This window comes from Homo sapiens, chromosome 11 (assembly GCF_000001405.40).
Source record: "Homo sapiens chromosome 11, GRCh38.p14 Primary Assembly".
Classification (NCBI taxonomy): Eukaryota; Metazoa; Chordata; class Mammalia; order Primates; family Hominidae; genus Homo; species Homo sapiens.
This window is the reverse complement of record NC_000011.10, coordinates 77,672,032-77,694,189: the sequence shown is the minus strand read 5'-3', so window position 1 is coordinate 77,694,189 and position 22,158 is coordinate 77,672,032. Positions and strand designations below refer to the sequence as shown.

General features: G+C 38.9%; 1 protein-coding gene across 3 annotated transcripts in view; it reads left to right on the top strand.

Moving 5' to 3' along the window:
- Positions 1–22,158, top strand: part of RSF1 (remodeling and spacing factor 1) — a 212,224-nt gene that overhangs the window by 178,043 nt on the left and 12,023 nt on the right. For all 3 annotated transcript variants that reach the window (XM_017017923.2, XM_005274051.3, NM_016578.4), the window contains exons 8-15: positions 579–683; positions 2,952–3,031; positions 9,031–9,085; positions 10,371–10,480; positions 16,037–16,104; positions 17,191–17,398; positions 18,934–19,154; positions 21,960–22,148. In XM_017017923.2, the coding sequence (XP_016873412.1) occupies positions 579–683; positions 2,952–3,031; positions 9,031–9,085; positions 10,371–10,480; positions 16,037–16,104; positions 17,191–17,398; positions 18,934–19,154; positions 21,960–22,148 (1,036 nt within the window). The remainder of the gene's footprint in view (positions 1–578; positions 684–2,951; positions 3,032–9,030; positions 9,086–10,370; positions 10,481–16,036; positions 16,105–17,190; positions 17,399–18,933; positions 19,155–21,959; positions 22,149–22,158) is intronic.

The following is a 22,158-nucleotide window of genomic DNA, read 5'->3' as shown; positions in this document are numbered from 1 at the left end:
ATATACTGAATGAAAAAGGATTCTAACTCTAGGTCAGAAAGGCCTTGTTATTTTTAACTAAATTTTATAGCTTAACTTTTTTTTAGGTTTTTTTAAAAATTAGCATGGGCTGGGCGCGGTGGCTCACGCTTGTAATCCCAGCACTTTGGGAGGCCGAGGTGGGTGGGTCACAAGGTCAGGAGATCAAGACCATCCTGACCAACATGGTGAAACCCCGTCTCTACTAAAAATACAAAAATTAGCTGGGTGTGGTGGCAGGCACCTGTAGTCCCAGCTACTCAGGAGGCTGAGGCAGGAGAATGACTTGAACCCGGGAGACGGAGGTTGCAGTGAACCAAAATTGTGCCACTGCACTCCTGCCTGGGCAACAGAGCGAGACTCTGTCAAATAAATAAATAAATAAATAAATAAATAAATAAATAAATGTCAGATCCCTAATCATCAGAGCTTTTTTATTTACTAGCTTTATGCAAATAGAGTGCTTTGCAGTATAGTACTCAGAGATATTGAAACGTCTTTAACCTAAGAGTCATTGAATTTTAGTCATAGTTAGGTTGACATCAGTGTGGTTATTTCAGATTCTTCTGTGTGACTCTTGCGATAGTGGATACCATACTGCCTGCCTTCGCCCTCCTCTGATGATCATCCCAGATGGAGAATGGTTCTGCCCACCTTGCCAACATGTAAGACCCCGCCCACTTGTTTTTCTAGTCTTTGAGTTTGTATTCAAATTAATAACTGTTTAATAGCTACTGAATGAATATTTTTAACCTTCAAAGCAATGTGTAAATAGTATTTACCTCTGTTTAGATTTCTACCTTTTATTAATAGCTTTTAGGTTTTCCTTTTTGTTTTTTTTCCCAAAGCAGTTATCAAAAGCCCTCTAAGTTTTGTAAAATTATGAATGATTTTTTTCTTGTATTTGTTAAAAGCACAAAAAGCACCAAGTGTAGATATGTAGAAGGAAGGATATATGTTTCTTCCTATGTATCACTTTGTTTCATCCTCTTTTTTGGTTTCTACCTACTTTGTATTTGTCAGTAGTTTTGTAGATGGTGTTATCAGGGTTAGGAGAAACATAGATTCTCTTTCTCTTCTATCTTAGGCAAATTTCTTTTAGAAACTGAAGAATCAGGTTATTTCTGTGCTGCTGTGCTCATTGGTTACATTTCTCTCACAAACCTACTTTCATTTGCCTTAAAAATGATAGATTAGGCCAGACACAGTGGCTCACACCTGTAATCCCAGCACTTTGGGAGGCCGAGATGGGCATATTACAAGGTCAAGAGATCGAGACCATCCTGGCCAACATGGTGAAACTCTGTCTCTACTAAAAATACAAAAATTATCTGGGCGTGGTGGCACACGCCTTTAGTCCAAGCTACTCGGGAGGCTGAGGCAGGAGAATCGATTGAACCCGGGAGACAGAGGTTGCAGTGAGCCAAGATCACGCCATTGTACTCCAGCCTGGCAACAGAGCAAGACTCTGTCTCAAAAAAAAAAAAAAACACCGCCAGGCATGGTGGCACATAGGTATAGTCCCAGCTCCTTGGGAGGCTGAGGCAGGAGGATCACTAAAGGCCATGAGTTTGAGACCACCCTGGGCAGCATAGCAAGACCCCATCTCTAAAAAATTTAAAAGTAGTGGCCGGGCGCGGTGGCTCACGCCTGTAATCCCAGCACTTTGGGAGGCCGAGGCGGGCGGATCACGAGGTCAGGAGATCGAGACCATCCTGGCTAAAACGGTGAAACCCCGTCTCTACTAAAAATACAAAAAATTAGCCGGGCGTAGTGGCGGGCGCCTGTAGTCCCAGCTACTTGGGAGGCTGAGGCAGGAGAATGGCGTGAACCCAGGAGGCGGAGCTTGCAGTGAGCCGAGATCCCGCCACTGCACTCCAGCCTGGGCAACAGAGCGAGACTCCGTCTCAAAAAAAAAAAAAAAAAAAAAAAAAAAAATTTAAAAGTAGTAATAATTATTTTTTTTAAATGATGAAAGTTTGGCCAAGCGTGGTGGCTTATGCCTATAATCCCAGCACTTTGGGAGGCCAAGGCAGGCAGATCACTTGAGGCCAGGAATTCAAGACCAGTCTGACCAACATGACGATATCCCATCTCTACTAAAAGTACAAAAATTAGACAGGCATGGTGGCACACGCCTGTAATCCCTGCTACTTAGAAAACTGAGGCACCAGAATCGCTTGAACCTGGGAGACAGAGGTTGCGGTAAGCCAAGATTGTGCCACTGCACGCCAGCCTGGGTGACAGAGTGAGATCTGTCTCAAAAAATAAAATAAAATAAAATGATGAGCTTTATGCATTCTTCAGTGAAATGGACTTCTGTGGCTTAGCACAGCTTTATTATCAAGTACATTTTTCAGCTCTGTTTTGACTCAGTAACTGTGTAGCATTGTTTGTATACTTTTTTACAGTCTTTTTTTTTAAGGATAGTCAAGTGAAGCCCTGGGAGTGGAGAAAGAACAAAAAAATCTGTAACTGGTTGGGATCAATTAGTTGTAAATACCACAGCACTCACACCAGCCCAGTCACCTTTTTTAAAAAATAGTTTTTGGCATCATTATGTTATATCGTACGTATAACCTTCTCCCTTTAAAACATCTTGGGATCTTTTTTAAAAAGTATAATCACTGTTACATACACATGTTGAACCAAATGCTGTTTTAAACATTGACTATTGCCAGTAGGATAGGCACAGAATCCGTTTCTTTTGGCAAAGCTGTATGTTTCTTTAACGTGTGCTTTATTTCAAAGGTACTGTGCTCATCTTCTGTTCAAAAGGTGTGTTTAATTAAACACAAGAAAAGCTTCATTGTTCACTTACTATGTGGTCCCTTACCAGCTCTCAGAGCCCACTACCCATGAAGTTAACATGTATGTAATAAATGATTGCTAAAAGTTGTTTAAAATGACTTTTATCTATTTTGCTTCTTCAGAAACTGCTCTGTGAAAAATTAGAGGAACAGTTGCAGGATTTGGATGTTGCCTTAAAGAAGAAAGAGCGTGCCGAACGAAGGTATTTTTATATGTGTGTTAATGTTTTGTTTGGGAATATGAGAGCAGAATTGTCTCACTGTATGGATAAATGGATCCATCTAAAACAAGGATTGGCATACTGTGGCCTGTGGGCCAAATCCAGCCTCCTTTTTGTTTTTGTACTGCCTGCTAACTAAGAATGTTTTTTATGTTTTTAAATGATTGGGGGGAAAAACTAGAATCATATTTCATGACACATGAAAATTATATGATACTCAAATTTTATTGTCTGTGAATAAAGTTTTATTGAACGCAACCTTGCTCATTTGTTTGTATATTGTCTGTGGCTACTTTTGCCCTGTGACAGCAGCATTGAGTAGTTGGAACAGAGACCTTATGACCTGCCAAGATTGCATGCTTATTATCTTTCCTTTTATAGGAAATGTTTGCCAACTTTCTATCTGAAGTATTTATCAGAAGTAGCTGGGCATGGTGGCTCCCGCCTGTAATCCCAGCACTTTGAGAGGCCGAGGCAGGCAGATCACCTGAGGTCAGCCTGGCCAACATGGTGAAACCCTGTCCCTACTAAAAATACAAAAATCAGCTGGGCATGGTGTCGCACACCTGTAGTCCCAACTACTCGGAGGCTGAGGCAGGAGAATCGTTGCAGTGAGCCAAGATCACGCCACTGCACTGCAGCCTGGGCAAGAGTGAGACTCTGTCTCAAAATAAATAAATAAATGAATAAATAAAGTATTTGTCAGAACCTTCTCTGAATAAATATTGGCCCAAATATTGTGGAGGGTATGTCCATAACTAAGTATTGTAGAGAATACAAAAAAACTATAAGAACTGGTCTGTAATTCAGTTATCCTTGTCATCTCCTTGGGTGGGCAGCTAACATTGGTGAAATAAAGAGTATTAAATGCTGAATTGTGTCCTACTGACTGTAAGAGATGCCCCTCTTTTCAATATAGCATTGCAGTGGTGGTCTTAAGCAGTTGGAGAAGGTTTTTTGTTTTTTTTTTTTTTTTTTTGAGATGGAGTCTCGCTCTGTTGCCCAGACTGGAGTGCAGTGGCACAGTCTCGGCTCATGGCAACCTCCATCTCCCAGGTTCAAGTGATTTTTTTGCCTCAGCCTCCTGAGTAGCTGGGACTACAGGCACCCGCCACCACGCCTGGCTAATTTTTGTATTTTTAGTAGAGAAGGGATTTCACCATACTGGCCAGGCTAGTCTCGAACTGCTGACCTTGTGATTCACCCGCCTCGGCCTTCCAAAGAGCTGGGATTACAGGCGTGAGCCACTGTGCCCAGCCTGGAGAAGGGTTCTTAGATGAAGTTCTTAAGACTGAACTTGAGCCTCCTCTTTAAAAGGGGATTCATAATCAGGACAACAGTTCATATTTATTTGTACCTTCTTTAATTAATCTATTTCTGATCATTCATTTTCACCTACTGTATACCAAACTGAAGAGGAAAGATCAAAAACAAAGCTCTTGTTTACATGGAACTCACCTTCTATTAGAGAATACAGACATATGAACCAATAATATAGTACAGACCAATAATATAGTACAGAACCAATGATATGATAAAATGGAAAAGTGGAGATATATTAAAAGCAATACAGGAACATGGTGGAGGAGCATTTTAGTTCTCATAGGATTTGGGGTTCTCAAGAGAGGCCTTGTAAGATAAATTGAGATTATACCGATGAACATATTTCAGACAAAGAGCACAAACATGAGCAAAGGCAAAGTGTAAAAGTGACAGTAGAGGTATGGTAGGAGATAGATTTTTGTAAAAGCTGAGTAAGGCCAAATTGTGAATAGCTTTCCAGGTTGGGGAATTTGACTTATTCTCTATAGAAAGTGGGGCGGCCATCAAAGGAGACATATGTAAGTATATCTTTATTTCAGAAAAAAATGCTCTGGTAACAGAAGAATGAAATAGAGTTGGGACTGTTGGAATAGCAAACCTGAGAGTCTGTAAGGCCTGAATTAGGGCAGGCATTGTGATAATAAGGTGGAGGTGTTGGGGAGAATTTTCAGAGGATTAATCTGTCATAGGACTTGATGCCCGTTTATACACTAGTATGATTGAGGAAATCTAAGCATTATCTCCTGATTTTACCTTCATTTGCTACTTCTTTACCTTATATCCCCTGACTCATAGTCTCGCCCTCCAAATTTAGCTTGCCTTAAGGCAATCAGCTTGTCCCATAATCCTCTCACTTTACCTTGTGCAAAGGTGAACCTTAAAAATGGATTCAGCCTCCAGAACCTAAAGGTTTTGTTTTTTTTACTACCCAGTTTGAGCACTCTGGCTCGTAATGGATGCTGCTTAGTTTAAAGGCAAGTTAATCTCTCAAATTGACTAGGACATAAAAGTACTTTGAATTGAGAAATGCTAGGTTATTTCTTTCTTTCTTTTGTTTGAACACAGGGTCTCACTATGTTGCCCAGGCTGGTCTTGGAACTCCTGGGCTCAAGGGATCCTCCTGCCCCAGCCTCCCAAGTAGGAGGGACTACAGGTGCCCATCACCACACCCAGCTAAACCTTGGGTTATTTCCATAAACTACTTGTGTTTCAGATATTTGGAATATTTTCCAAGAACATTTTAAAAAATAAAGAATGATCCTGTATGAAATTACTAGGACTATTTTGATGTGCTGTTTCTCTTGTTTTTATTTTTGACACTGCAAAAGATGTAACTAAAGGTATTTAAATTAAATCACGAATAAAAACTAGATTTTTCCTTTGCCTCCATCTTGCTCAAATCTGTTTATCCTTTTCAGAAATTAGCAGTTTTCCCATGTCCTGAAGCTGATTTGTCTCAGAAATGTAGATAGCTAATAGGCTCATCCACTAAGGAAGAGAATTTTGTTTTGTTTTGTTTTGAGACAGAGTCTTGCTCCGTCACCCAGGCTGGAGTTCAGGTACAGTGGCAGGGTCTCAGCTCACTGCAACCTCTGCCTCCTGGGTTCAAGCGATTCTTCTGCCTCAGCCTCTCGAGTAGCTGGGATTACAGGCACGCGCCACAATGCCCAGCTAATTTTTGTATTTTTAGTAGAGACGAGGATTTCACCATGTTGGCCAGGCTGGTCTTGAACTCCTGACCTCAAGTGATCCACCTGCCTTGGCCTACCAAAGTGCTGGGATTACAGTCATGAGCCACTACTCCCAGCTGAGAATGTATTCTTTCTAAAAGCCAAGAATGTAAACCACTAAGAATTTCTTACCTGCTTATTCTTTGGAGCCCTTTGATGCTTATACCATTTATATGTGTAAAAGCCTGATGAAAAAATTTTGACAACAGCCTCATATGCTATAGGATATGCCACTGCAATTATGAAATATTTTGATTTTTAGAAATTTTTATTTTAAAGTATGCCACAATATTTGTTTATATTACTGTCTCCAATTTACTAGTTCCTTTACTTTCTCTCCTACTCTAGGTAATCCTCTTTGTTTAAATGTCATCCTTTTTATTTTTTGGAGACAGAGTCTCGCTTTGTCACCCAGGCTAGAGTGCAGTGGCACGATAACTGCAACCTCTGCCTCCCATCTTTAAGTGATCCTCCCACCTCAGCCTCCTGAGTAGCTTGGACCACAGGCACACGCCACCACACCCGGCTAATTTTTGTATTTTTTACTACAGATGGGGTTTTGCCATGTTGGCCAGCTTGGTCTCAAATGCCTAGCCTCAAGTGATCTACCCAAGGTTACCCAAGGTGGGTAACCTTGGCCTCCCAAAATTATGGGTTTACAGGCATGAGCTACCACACCTGGCTTTAAATGTCATCCTTTAAGAGGACATCTGTAATTATGACTTTATATCATACACTAAGTTCTCAGATTGTGTATAGAAAAGAAAGGAAAGTTACTGTTACAGGAAGACCAGTCTGGCACAGAGCCAGTTAATGGATTGTTGTTGGTGTTTGCTGATTCTCCCTAATAATCTGGTTAACAAAGCTTTTGTTGTATATAGTTCCTAGAATACAAGTATGTGTGTGTGTGCATGTATACACACACATGTATATGAATCTTAGGAGCTCTAAACAGCAAAATATGTGTTTCTAAAATAAATATTAGCTGTAAATTCTAGCCATCGTCATTCAGTTTTCTAAAGTAAGCACTTATATTCACTTTTTAAAAATCTGTGAAATAACTTATTAGCATTCATCCTAGCAGCTTAGAGGTGTACTTACTCCCTATGTCATAATACAAGAGCATTTTACTCCCTGTTTACTCCCTAAGCAACCCTTGTTTATGCAGTCATTCAACATTTAAGCAACATGTATTGGGTACCTACTTTATGCCAATGAGTGTAATCAAATGAGGAAGTATATAATGTGGTCTTTACCATAGAGGTCTCTACAGTCTTGTGGAAAAGAGGGATGGATATACATTTCAGTGAGTATTTAGTGGCTAGCCAGCAACTGTCTACAGACCTGATGGTGTGATGCTCTGTGAAATCTGATGTTTTAGAAGTCCACTGAATGATTTTTAAACATACCAGTTTTAATAGCATCACAACCTATCTCTAAAAAGACCATGAATATTCTTGTTAGCAGGGCACTAAAGGCTGCACTCTAAAAGACCTAGCCAGCTGGATACATTAATATCCTTATATAAGGAACATTACAAGCAGAGAGAGACAGAATGATTACTATTTCAGTTCAGTTCAATTTAACATACAGAGGCATGTCAGAGCTCAGCTGTTCTTGAATTGGATTAACTTTGAGAGAACCAGGGAAAACACCTGCTTTTTTTTTTTTTTTTTTTTGAGACAGGGTCTCACTCTTGATGCCCAGGCTGGAGTGCAGTGGCATGATCAAAGCTCACTGCAACCTCCAACTCCTGAGTTCAAGTAATCTTCCCATCTCAGCCTTCTGAGTAGCTGGGACAATAGGTGTGTGCCACCATACCTGGCCAATTTTTATTTTTTCAATTTTTATAGAAACAGGCGTCTCACTGTGTTGCCCAGCTGGTCTTGAATTCCCAGCGTCGGGGGACCTCCTGCTTTGGATTACAGGCATGAGCCACCACACCCAGCCATCCTGCTGTTTTTTTAATATGTAATTTAATTAAAATCAACAAAGGTTTGTTTCTTGGAAATGAAACTATGGAGATGTCATTGGCTCAAGTCTGTATTTCCTGGCTCTAGTTATCTTCAGCTGTGGCCTTCTAGAGCACAGAGCTATACGTCTGCATTGCTTTTTTCTCTTTCAACAGCAAGGAATGAATGGTCTCAGTGTCATTCACTGGGACCTTGATAAGGTTTTGTTTACATAATTTTTATAGCAATATTTATTACCATGAGTTTATAATTGTTTATACATACACCCAAAATATTACTAAAAACTTTCTCCAGCATAACAAAGATCTAATTTGTCTAATCAAAGGTGGCTTTCCATCTAATCTTATCAACTTGTCACAGCATGACTCTTGATGAAGTTGCTTGTCTTATTTCAGTTATAGGTTTTATTTCACCAATGTAAGTCATTTCTGAAAGATATTGTTATCTTAACCCTAGGAAATGTTGAGCTCCCCACACATACTAATACTATATTAAAGTTTTATACTTAATAGCTAACATGGGCCAGGAGCAGTGGTCACACCTATAATCCCAGCACTTTGAGAGGTCAAGGTGGGTGGATCGCTTGAGGCCAGGAATTTGAGACCAGCCTGGCCAACATGGCAAAACCCCATCTCTACTAAAAATACAAAAATTAGCTGGTTGTGGTGGCTCTCACCTGTAATCCCAGCTACTTGCAAGGCTGAGGCAGTAGAATCACTTGAACCCGGGAAGTAGAGGTTGCAGTGAGCTAAGATTACGCCACTGCACTCCACCCTGGGCAAGAGAGTGAGACCTTGTCTATAAATAAATAAATAAATAATAGCTAACATTTCTGTGACTTACCCTCTGCTGTTAACGTGAAATTGTAATTTTAACATTATGTGTATTCGTGATGTTTACATAACAGTTTTATTTTCTGCAAATCTCATGTATTTTGTTTGTTTTTCACCTAAAGAAAAGAACGCTTGGTGTATGTTGGTATCAGTATTGAAAACATCATTCCTCCACAAGTAAGTTTCTGATTTGTAATGTTTTTAAATGGGAGATTGTCATAATTGCTCTAAAATTTTACCCACCTTATGTAATGTTAGTGGTTTTATTTATTTATTTATTTATTTATTTATTTCGAGATGGAGTTTCGTTCTTGTTGCCCAGACTGGAGTGCAATGGCGCAATCTCTGCTCACTGCAGTGTCTGCCTCCTGGGTTCAAGCAATTCTCCTGCCTCAGCCTCCTGAGTAGCTGGGATTACAGGTGCCCGCCACCATACCGGCTAATTTTTGTATTTTTAGTACAGACGGGGTTTCACCATGTTGGCCAGGATGGTCTCGAACTCCTGACCTCAGGTGATCTGCCTGTCTTGGTCTCCCAAAGTGCTGGGATTATAGGTGTGAGCCACTGCTCCTGGACAGTGGTTTTAAATCTATGATACACCAGTATTAAAAATGGAAATTTAAGACCTTCGAGAAATCACCCATAATCCCTCATGATTGAAATTTTATGTATGCAGGTAACTCCAAAATGTGATATCACATCTAAACTAAACTTACAGCTTTTACCTTTGGAGTATGTTTTCTGTTTTTACACTGAACTTTATAATGTGTTGTTAGCTTGTTTTGCATGCTGTTTATGTAAAATGACTAAAGAAGAGTTTGGGGAGATTTGATTTTTAATTTTTATTTTGGGGATTGTTGAAAACTTCAGTTTGTATTTTTCAACACAGTTTGGGTTTTTTGAAGGATTACCTTTGTTTTGCATTTATTAGTCTAATTTATAACTAAGGTGGGTATATCATGAGTGAAAGTGCATAAAATGTGGTTTTGTAATTTACATAATTTGTAATTTTTGCAATTTGTAAAAATGTGTATAAGTAATTTCATTCCGGCTTAATTAAATCACAAGCTTAAAAGGCCTGTCAAGTTATTTCCTTGAGTAGCAACCCCTTTCTTCTAAATCTTTCATTCATGCAGCATACCTGTTGAACATCTTCTGTTGCAAATTAAATTATTTATCAATGGAAAAACTTCATCATGACTGTTTTAAAACAAGTACTGGTTATAATCTCACAAAAGCGTCAGAATTTTAATACAGAAGGATTTCATCCTTTAATCACCAGCATTCTTTTTAATCTGTATACTCAGTGTTGCCATGTTTATTCACTTTTGGAGGGGATCATCTCAAACTTTTTCAGACCTTTCACATGTGCTACCTAAATGGAGATTACAAAACTGTTTATCCCAAGGAACTTTGTTCTGCATAAGGAATAACCTCTATGCTTATTATCATATTTTTTAAGGAGCCAGACTTTTCTGAAGATCAAGAAGAAAAGAAAAAAGATTCAAAAAAATCCAAAGCAAACTTGCTTGAAAGGAGGTCAACAAGAACAAGGAAATGTATAAGCTACAGGTATGAAGTGTATGGAAATGTCTACAGCAAAAGAGGATTTATTTTGCAAGTACACAGCATGATCCAGAAGTATATGCTTTTTCTATCATGCTGATTATTGCAGTTGTATATATATTTCTTGCCTTCCATCTTTAGTCATAGAATTTTTTTTTTCCTTTTTCTTTTTTTTTTGAGACTGAGTCTCGCTCTTGTTGGCCAGGCTGGTCTCGAATGCCTGACCTCTGGTGATTTGCCCTCCTCAGCCTCCCAAAGTGCTGGGATTACAGCCATGAGCCACCGCGCCCGGCCTAGTCATATAATTTTAGAGCAGAGTGATCCTTTCCAAATGTAAATCTGTTCATGTCATCCTCTTTTGCTTTAACATACTTTATCAGATTTCCATAGCTCTTGGGTTAAGGATTGTTTTGTTTTGTTTTTTCCAAGATGGAGTCTTGCTCTGTCTCCAGGCTGGAGTGCAGTGGCACCATCTCGGCTCACTGCAACCTCCACCTCTCGGGTTCAAGCGATTCTCGTGCCTCAGCCTCCCACGTAGCTGGGACTACAGGCGCCCGCCACCACGCCCAGCTAATTTTTGTATTTTTAGTAGAGACGGGGTTTCACCATGTTGGCCAGGATAGTCTCAACCTCTTGACCTGGTAATCCACCCGCTTCAGCCTCCCGAAGTGCTGGGATTACAGGCATGAGCCACCACACCCAGCCAAGCATTGATACTTTTAACAAGGCCAGTAAGGCACTGCATAGTCTCATCTCTACTTCCCTCTCCAACTCTATCTTATCACATTCTCCCTTACACTCTCTGCATTTGCTGCATCGCCTTTTAGTCCCTTTGCACATGCTGTTTACCTGCAATTTCCTTTTCAGTTTTAGCTTGTTAACCTCCTCTAGATCAAATCCCCCCCATTATATGCCTTCATAGCAACCAGTTCTTTTCCCTGAAAGCACTTACAATTGTAATGAGTGTGGTTGTGATGATTTATTAACATTTTTCTTCATCACTAGATTGTTAGCATGAAGGTAAGGACCATGTCTGTTTTACGTGGACTTGTGTCCCCTATACCTAGCATAGTGCTGACAGATAGTTAATGCTCCATAAGTACCTAGTGAAAGAATCAGTAAATATTACCTGGTTTACCTTTTAACACCAAAGATACCAGAGAGATTTTTTCCATGGTCACTGTTAGTAGCTATTCCTAGAAATCTTATCTTCTAAAACCCTATCTTCCAGTCTAGTGTTCTTTCCACTAAATCATGCTGTCTCATTCAAATAATAAATAAATTATATTTTAGTTATTTTAGATCATTTTTTGGCCTACAGCTTCTAAAATCTGCTGGGATAACACCAAATCAGTTTTTTAACTTGAATAACTGGAAAAGGAAAACAGTGGATTTTATGAAACTCTTAACTTTGAACTTGCTTCTTATTTATAAACTTGCATCAGTAATCATGGAGGAATTTGCTTCTATTGTTAGTGTTAAAACTTTATAAAAATATGGTAGAATCAGTAAGGGTAAAATCCCATATATACAGGAATAGTGCCCATCCTAGTCTTTAAAAAAATACTTCAAAAAATAAAAAGTTTTCTTCTGTATGTATGAAGTCAAAGCTGACAGATGGAAAGTGCAAATATGAAGTCAGTTCTGCTGCAACATAACATGTATTTTTAAAAAATCACCATGCTGTGCAAAATTATACAGGAAAAACCATAGAGATTATGGAAAATATGGGGTTAGAGACATACATTAAAAACTTCATTAGCGATGCATTAAAAAAGATAGGAATTTATTAAAAATGGGAGCGCCATTTGACATATGTTAAATAAGTAAGAAATACATAAATACTGCATTAACTATGGCGTTTTATACTGAAAAAGACCTGAAGCTTGTCTGTGGAAGCAGAGAATTGTAGTTTGTAAATTATGGTGTGGTGGCAGAAGGAGGTTTATCTGAAATCAGAAAAGTATAACATCAGATGCAAAAGGCTATAGTTTTATTATAACACATAGTGAAGTGATGTTACTGGTAGATGTCTTAGGTATGTGTGTTTTGTAGATTCCTGGGCAACTCATTTCAGCTAGGTGCAGTTTTCTGCATTCACCTAGTGTTTCTCACAAATGAAATTGCACATAAATTGGCTGGGCATGGTGGCTTACACTTGAAATCCCAGTACTTTGGGAGACTGAGGCAGGAGGATCGTTTCAGCCCAAAAGTTCAAGACCATCCTGGGCATCATAGAGAGACTCTGTAAGAGAGAGGGTGGCAGGGAAGAGGGAAGGAAAGGGGAAAGTAAGGAAGGAGGGAAGGAAGGAAATTGCACATAAGCATGTATGAATGAAATACATATCATGTTTGAGTTGTTTTGTAATATGTCAGTCATTTTGGAACTAGGTAGAGTATAAATAAATGCATTACACAATACATTTTATATGAAAATACATAGTTTACCCTAAATTCCGATTTTAGTCATATATGATTTTAGAGCTTAAAGGGATAATCTGTGTTAATCCACCATGACAGATGAGACAACCAAGACCAAGGGACTATAGATACATGGAGTGTTGTATTCAGAAATCTTTTATCTGAAGCTCTGCATCTGGGATATAAATCAAGGCTGTTTAGTTGCATTAAAAATGACTTAGATTATCATTAAGGCAAGAGTGGGATGTTTCATTCTTTGTGAAATAGTTTCATATGCCTGAAGTTTCTGATGGTCTTTGATTTTAGCGAACAAATTTCTCAGTAAGAAAGTAGTCACTCAAAGAAATAGGTTATTATGCCACCTTACAGCTGCACCCTGTCCTCAGAACAAATGCTGTTTTCAGTTAATTTTGCATCTGGCATCTGGCTTTATATGTATCTGCTATTCTACCCTAGTGAATGGATGTGCTGAGTTTTACTTTCTCAGAACTTAAGACAAATCCACACTGCAGCTACAAGAATGTTTCTCATAATATTGCAATTGTGAAAAATTGGAAATAAACTGTTTTAACTAAATATGATACATCTGTAAGGTGAGATACTATGCAGCCAGTAAAAATTACATTGTAAAAGAAGAGCTCTCCATCTGAAATTTGTGAGTCCTTTGAAATTATATATTCTAACTCAGAAGGCAGGATGTTTAGTTTTTAGAGACGGGGTCTTGTTATGTTGCCTAGACTGGACTCCCAACTCCTGGGCTCAAGCCATCCTACTGCCTCAGCCTCCCAAATAGTTGGGACTATGGGTGTATACAGCCACTTCCAGCCTCCAGCTTTTAGTCTTTTTTCTTTTTTTGAGACAGGATTTCACTCTGTCACACAGGCTGGAGTGCAGTGGCATGATCACAGCTCACTGCGGCCTCGAACTCCTATCCACAAGCAGTCCTATTGCCTCAGCTTCCCAGAGTGCTAGGACTACAGGCACACATCACCACACCTGGCTAATTTTTTTAATTTTTTATTTTTGTAGATACAGGGTCTCACCATATAGCCCAGATTGGTCTCAACCTCCTGGGCTCAAGTTATACTCCTGCCTCAGCCTCCCAAGAGTGCTGAGCCACTGCACCCAGCCCTAGCTTTTAGTTTTGATGCTGTTGTTAATCCATTGTGTGCCCGTAATCCCACCCTCTTCAATATAATATACTCTGGTGATGGAAATAGAATCTATTTCTTTGATGTCTGATATGGTGGCCATAGCCATATGTGACTATTGAATACTTGAATTATGTCTAGTGAGGAACAGAATTTTAAATTTTAATGAATTTAAATATAAATAGCCACACAGGCTAGTAATTACCATTTTTAGCGTAGATTTAAACAAGTTACTTCATCCTTTTGGCTGAGCCCTGAAGTAAAAGGCATTTTATATGTGAAGAAATCTTAGGAATCCTTTAGTCTTGATCCTTTTCTTTAAGTCAAGGTAAACAGCTTCAAGAAATACTTTTACCTAGTTCTAAAATTTTAACCATTTGTGTATGAATTTCAGTTATAATATAATTTTCAATAGCAGTAATAATATAGCCCTATTATTGGGACTCTTTTTCTTTTCTTTTTTTTTTTTTTGAGACAGGGTCTCGCTCTGTCCCCCAGGCTGGAGTGCAGTGGTGCATTCTCGGCTTACTTCATCCTCTGCCTCTTGGGCTCAAGCAATCCTCTTGTCTCGGCCCCCCAAGTAGCTGGAACTACAGGCACGCACCACACACCCAGCTAATTTTTTGTATTCTTTATAGAGACAGGGGTTCACCATGTTGCCCAAGCTGGTCTTGAACTCCTGGGCTCAAGTGATCTGCCTGCCTTGGCCTCCCAAAGTGCTGAGATTACAGATGTAAGCCACTGTGCCCAGACATATTATTAGGACTTAATAGTATTTATGGAACTGTAATTTTGTTTTACTTACTTTGCCATGTGATTTGTATAATTAGGAGTTGGCAAATTATGGCCTGTGGGCCAAATTCAGCTCACTTCTAGTTTTTGTACAACGTGACCTCAAAGTGGTTTTTATAAATGTTTGAAGAAAAGGATCAAAAGAAAAATGATATCCTGTGAAAATTATATGGAAATTACCTATAATTCAAATTTTAATGCTCATAAAGTTTTATTGAAACACGTCTGTATCATTTACTTACATGTTGTCCGTAGCTGCTTTGCACTACAATAGCAGAGTTGAGTAGTTACAACAGAGACTGCATTGTCTGAAAAGCCTAAAATATTTACCATCTGGCCCTTTATAAAAATTTTTGCTGACATTGCCTCAGTCTAATTTGGCTGCTATCAGAAAGTAACCGTAAACTGGATAGCCTATAATCAACAGAAATTTATTTCTTGCGGTTCTAGAAACTAGGAGGTCCAAGGTCAAGATACTGGCAGGTATGCTGTCTGGTGAGGGCCTGCTTTCTGGTTCATAGATGGCACCTTCTAGGGTGTTCTTAATCACGGAAGGGATGAGGGGAGTTTTTAGGGTAGACCCGATGCCTAGTGAAGGCCTGCTCCTTCATAGATGGCCATCTTCTCACTGTAACCCCATATGGTGGAAGAAACAAAGGGTCTCTCTCTGGCTTCTTTTATATGGGCACTAATCTTATACATGAGGGCTCTGCCAAAGACCCCACCTCCTAATACCATCACCTTGAGATTTAATATTTCAACATGGGGATTTTGAGGGGACATAAACAATCAGACAGTAACAGACATCTGCTAAAGGTAATCTTTAAAAATAAAAGGACAGCTGGGTGCGGTGGCTCACGCCTGTAATCCCAGCACTTTGGGAGACTGAGGCGGGCAGATCACGAGGTCGAGATCGAGACCATTCTGGCCAACATGATGAAACCCTGTCTCTACTAAAAGTACAAAAATTAGCTGGGTTTGGTGGCACGCGTCTGTAGTCCCAGCTACTCGGGAGGCTGAGGCTGGAGAATCCCTTGAACCCGGGAGGCAGAGGTTGCAGTGAGCCGAGATGGCGCCACTGCACTCCAGCCTGGCAACAAAGAGAGACTCCGTCTCAAAAATAAATAAATAAAAATAATTAAAAAAAAAAAAAAAAAAGCCAGGACAGGCTATAATGTGATCATTGTGTATATTTTAGATTTGATGAGTTTGATGAAGCAATTGATGAAGCTATTGAAGATGACATCAAAGAAGCCGATGGAGGAGGTATGTGTTTGTCGTTCTCTCTTCTTCATAGAACTCTGCCAAGAAGTTCATTCAGGTGCCCAAATTAGGGCAGTGAGCATATGTTTTTATTCTCTTTCCCGTTATGTATCATGATTAGTACTGATGTTAGTTGTCTCAGATTTAGAGTAATTTGTGGATACAATGTCAGTGTATAGACTCAGATCTTACTAACTACTTTTAAAGCAGTTTTGTTTTACAAGCTGATATAAAACATTGATGTTCCTTCATAGGTTAAAAAATTTACTTCTGATTCCATATAGAAAACTGAGGAAACTTTTCAGTTGTCTTTGAGACTACAAAGTCTCAAAAATTATGGATAATCAGAACCAAAATAATTTAAACCAAAAATTTTTAAGTTAACCTATTAAAAATTGGTTTCTTAATTTCATAGTCTTTAGTAAGTGGCATTAAAATAGAAGAACTTGAAGGTAATTTAATTAAAGCACTATTAGCCAATGCTCCAATATGGAACATTCTGGTTTCTACTTAGTTATTATGAAAACTCTGGAAAAGATTAATAAGTAGATTGTTTAAGGCTTTTCCAGAGATGTATGTTTTATTTACATTTTTGCTGCTGAATTCTCACTTTTTCTGTCCTGCAAACACTGTTTTTAAAAACTCTATTGGCCTCTTTCTAAAGCCTTGTCCAAAAGACAGCTTTCAAGAAGAGATTCTTGAGTGACTGCTCATAGGTATGAGGTTTCTTTTTTGGGTGATGAAAATGTTCTGGAGTTAGGTAGTGGTGATGGTTGCACAACTTTGTGACTATACTAAAAATGTCTGAATTGTACACTTTAAGAGGGTGAATATTGCGGTGTGTGAATTATATAAAAATTTAAAAAACGAGGTTCCCTACATAGTAAACTTCTCTTCAGTAGGGTAAACGAATGCTAAAACTCTGAGACCTCTGTCAGCTGAAGTCATAAGAAAACTGCATATTTGTTGGAAGAAAATAAAGAAATGAAGAGCTGCTAAGCATGAATAAGGACTGTCTCTAGAAATTAAAGGGAAGCTTTTAATAAACACATATTTTTCTCTCCCCGAACTTCCCTCCCCCAAATTCAGGAGTTGGCCGAGGAAAAGATATCTCCACCATCACAGGTCATCGTGGGAAAGACATCTCTACTATTTTGGATGAAGAAAGAAAAGAAAATAAACGACCCCAGAGGGCAGCTGCTGCTCGAAGGAAGAAACGCCGGCGATTAAATGATCTGGACAGTGATAGCAACCTGGATGAAGAAGAGAGCGAGGATGAATTCAAGATCAGTGATGGGTGTGTGGTCTCCTACTAGGCCCCGATCCCTAGATACCAGCAGGAACAGGACTGGGCTAGCAGAGAGGCTTGCCCATGCTGTGATGAGGGTTTTCTTCTTCATGTACATAGACAACCTCTGTTTATTTTCAGGATATTTAAAGCAGATTCAAGAATACTAATTTTGGCCCATTTTTAAAGTTTAGAACAGAAAATAGATTTATGGTTGTTTAACATTCAAAATTGTATTTAAATTTTACTAACTACAATTAAACTTTCATTTGTTGAGAGCTTTCTCTGTACCTCTGTGCCACCTTCTGCCAGGTCCATGAGGGGTTTCCAGTCCTATGTGAAAAATAAATAAGATATTATCCTCTCATGACTCATAGAAGTTGGACTTGGGACTGGTAATCCAGTATAGAAGATCAAGAAAGGCTTCTTTGCAGAGTTGGAATTGAAACAATACTGCAGAGTTTCTCCTTTCAGATTATTAGAAGAGGAAACAAGTATATAAACCACAAAAAAAAAAAAAAGTCATTCTGCATAACTGCTACTAAAATACAGGGAAAGATAAATTAGGCTACAGAGGAAAGTTGGCTTAATCCAAAGAGTAAACCTTAAAGTAGAAGTAAAGCTTGATCTGAAATTTGAAGAATGAGTATTTGGAATCAACAAGTATGAGACTAAAAGCAGGATAAGAAAAAGGTATTCTAAGCATAGAAGTCACATGTCCAAGACAGCAAGCCGTAAAATGTCATAGAATGTTTGGGAAACTCCTGTTGGCTCTGGATAGCAGGAATAAGGGGATGAAGTAGAGAGTGCCCTACTGGAGATGTGGTCAAGTGATAAAAAGAGCCAGATTAGGGAGTGTTTTATTTGTCATGCATAAGTGTTTTGACTTTATCCTGAAAATTATACAAAACCAGTGAAGGGTTTTAAACACTAAATTAATATGAGATTTATGCTTCAGAAAGATTCATCCTGGCATTCATTTGGAGGATAGATTGAGGGGAAATGAGACCAGATATTAGAGAAACTATTTGTGGAGTTGCTTTTGTAGTTAAGGTGAGTATGAAAAGCTGAAAACAGAAGAGATCAGGTTTGAGAGATTATCTTTTAAGAGGTAGACTCTAGAGAAATTATTAATTTATTGGATATGAGAAATGAAAAGGGGAAAGTTAGGATAAATACCACGTTTCTGGTTGGAGTTACCGGATGAGTGATGGTGCCAAATACCAGGCCAGGGAACAGAAGAGAGAAGTAGATTGGGAAATAATGAATTCACTTTTGAATATGTCGAATTTAACATGGGGGACATCCCAAGAGGTCAAAGCAGTACAGAAATCAACATTAATTCATCTTTACAACCCCTCCTAAGAGGATAGGTGGCAAAACATTTTCCCCATTTTATAAATAGGGCATTTGATACAATTATCCAGATATGTTGCACTATACTTAATGATTCACTGGGCTCACCAGAATTTGAACTCAGAACTCTTAAAAATGGGTTCACTCTTCTAAATACCATTGTATTTTATCTGATTTCTCTTGGACAGATCTCAAGATGAGTTTGTTGTGTCTGATGAAAACCCAGATGAAAGTGAAGAAGATCCGCCATCTAATGATGACAGTGACACTGACTTTTGTAGCCGTAGACTGAGGCGACACCCCTCTCGGCCAATGAGGCAGAGCAGGCGTTTGCGAAGAAAGACCCCAAAGAAAAAATATTCCGATGATGATGAAGAGGAGGAATCTGAGGAGAATAGTAGAGACTCTGGTAAAAATAATCTGTAACCATATGGTAGCTCAATAAATTATTTTTTGTTTTTCTTGTTGCTCATGCTGGAGTGCAATGGCACCATCTCGGCTCACTGCAACCTCTGTGTCCCGGGTTCAAGCGATTCTCCTACCTCAGCCTCCCAAGTAGCTGGGATTACAGGCATGTGCCACCATGCCTGGCTAATTTTGTATTTTTAGTAGAGAGGGAGTTTCTCCATGTTGGCCAGGCTGGTCTCAAACTCCCGACCTCAGGTGATCTGCCCACCTCAGCCTCCCAAAGTGCTGGGATTACAGGCGTGAGCCAGCACGCTGGCCAGCTCAACAAATTCTTATGACTTCTGGAGTTAAGAGTTCTTAAAATTCTGTTCTTAAGACTTATTTCTGACTAAATTTTTCTCATAGAAAGCACATCTGAGAAAATACATACTGATTGATACGTTAACTTCATATCAGATGCCTAGTAGGATTGTGATGACTCCTTGGTTGTCAAATGTTTCCACTCCTAAACCTTCATCTTCATAGGGTTTCTTGGAAATCATTCTCAATAAACTGTGAACATTTCCCTCAGATGCCCAGCTGTTGGAGAGAGAAGAATACAAGTTAACTCTCATTTAGACCACAGTCAGTGTTGAGTAGTTTTTACAGATTAACAGTAGTTGATGTTGTTATAGAGTATGCTTATCCCTATTAAGTGAGTAAATAGAGGCTCAACCGCTACAAGAAATGAATGCTTTATGTAATTGGCAAATTGATAGGTGTCATCTTATTAGAGAAGAACCATAGATATGAGTATCAGACTCTGGCCATCCTTGTGGGTTTTTTTTGGTTTTATTTATCTTTTTTCCTAAACCATCTAAATAAGTGATGATAATATCATGCCCCTTTATCAGTGATTATTTCCTAAGGACAAGGACATTTTCTTACATCACCACAATGCAATTACCAAATTCAGATATTTTAACATTGATATAATGCTATTACCTAATTAACAGTACACATTCAAATTTTTAACAAGTATCTCCATATTATTCTTTATATCTTTTTTTTCTTTTCCTAACCCAGGATCCATTCCAGGGCTATGCGTTTATTCACATCTCTTTAGTCTCCATTAATCTGGAATAATCCTCAAATTTTGTCTCATCTTGATATTTTTAAAGAGTACATACTAGTTGTTTTGTAGATGTTTCCCAGTTTTGATTTCTTTTGTTTCCTTGTGATAAGATTCAGATTATGCATTTATAGTGGGAATAGCACAGAGAATGTTGCATCTTCTGAGTCTCTTTATTATTTTTCCTTATAATTAATAAGTAATTTGTGGGAATTTGAGACTATTTAAATATCCTTTTCCTTATATTTCACCTGCTAGTTTTAGTTCCTGTGGATAATTCTAACTCTGTCATTTCTGTTATATTTATTTATTGTTGTTCTGTAAGGAAGAACATTTCCCTTCTCCTCCATATGTTTGTTTATTTATGACAGTGTAAACTCGTGGATTCTTATTCTGATCAGTGGATATACTACATTCCCATCACTATTTAGGCTCCATTTGTCCCAAATTTGGCCAATGAGAACCACTTCAACCTATTGGCTAGCTATTTTGAAATGTTTGAAATCCACAAAAGAATAACAAGCTTGAATGTCGTACTTCGGTGGAATTTAACATTCTGAAAAACAGCTGTGACATAATGCCACAGCCTCACTCTGGCTTATTGATCAGAGATGACAGGAACAATGCTATTTAGCAGTGCTTTGCAAGTTTAACTAGGTCTGTGTGCTTTATTTAGCAGATTTGTATTCTTTATGGAGAAGAGTCAAAAATATATCTTGAGTTCTGTATTTATGTGGAACAGATTCATGAGTTTTCTTTGGTTAGAGGGCATAACCTCTGCAATACATTATGACTATAGTGACAGGTAGAACAGCATATTATCAGGAGGCGGATTTGTGGTAGCCGTCTACCAAGAAGAGCAGTCATGGCAGCTGTGTACCTGACCAGGTAGCTGTAGGTCGACTGCAGTAAGGACTATTTCTAAAAAAGTATAAAACATTTAGGCTGGGTGTGGTGGCTCACACCTGTAATCCCAGCACTTTGGGAGGCCGAGGCAGGCGGATCACTTGAGGCCAGGAATTCAAGACCAGCCTGGCCAACATGGCGAAACCCCATCTCTACTAAAAATACAAAAATTAGCCAGATGTGGTGGCGGGTACCTGTAGTCCCAGCTACTCGGAAGGCTGAGGCAGGGGAATTGCTTGAACCCGGGAAGTGGAGTTTGCAGTGAGCCAAGATCATGCCACTGCACTCCAGCCTGGGCGACATAGTGAGACTCTGTCTCAAAAACAAACAAACTAAAAAGGATAAAACATTTTCTAATCTTGAGGATTCACCGCTAAGAGTATATATTGTGAGGTTTGGCATTAAAAACCTGCACAGATTGAGTCATTTTTTTTTTTTTTAAGGGAGACTTAAAGGCCAGGCATGTGGTAATCTCAACACTTTGGTAGGTAGCCAGGAGTGGTAGTGCATATGCCTGTGATCCTAGCTTTAGCTACTGGGGCAGCTGAGGCCAAAGGATCTCTTGAGCCCAGGAGGTTGAGGCTGTAGTGAGTCATGTTCATGCCACTGCACTCCAGCCTGTGTGATAGTGAGATACTCTCTCAAATAAAATGAGACTCATAAAAGTTACTGTTCACTTAAAAATATTTATGACTGAACTCTGCTTGGTAGCTTTTCATTTTTATAACCTAAGCTACATTTCTAAATAGACTTAAATTTTGTACTTTGTTCTTCCTTTTTTTAAAATAGAAAGTGACTTCAGTGATGATTTTAGTGATGATTTTGTAGAAACTCGGCGAAGGCGGTCAAGGAGAAATCAGAAAAGACAAATTAACTACAAAGAAGACTCAGAAAGTGACGGTTCCCAGAAGAGTTTGCGACGTGGTAAAGAAATAAGGCGAGTACACAAGCGAAGACTTTCCAGCTCAGAGAGTGAAGGTAAGGCATA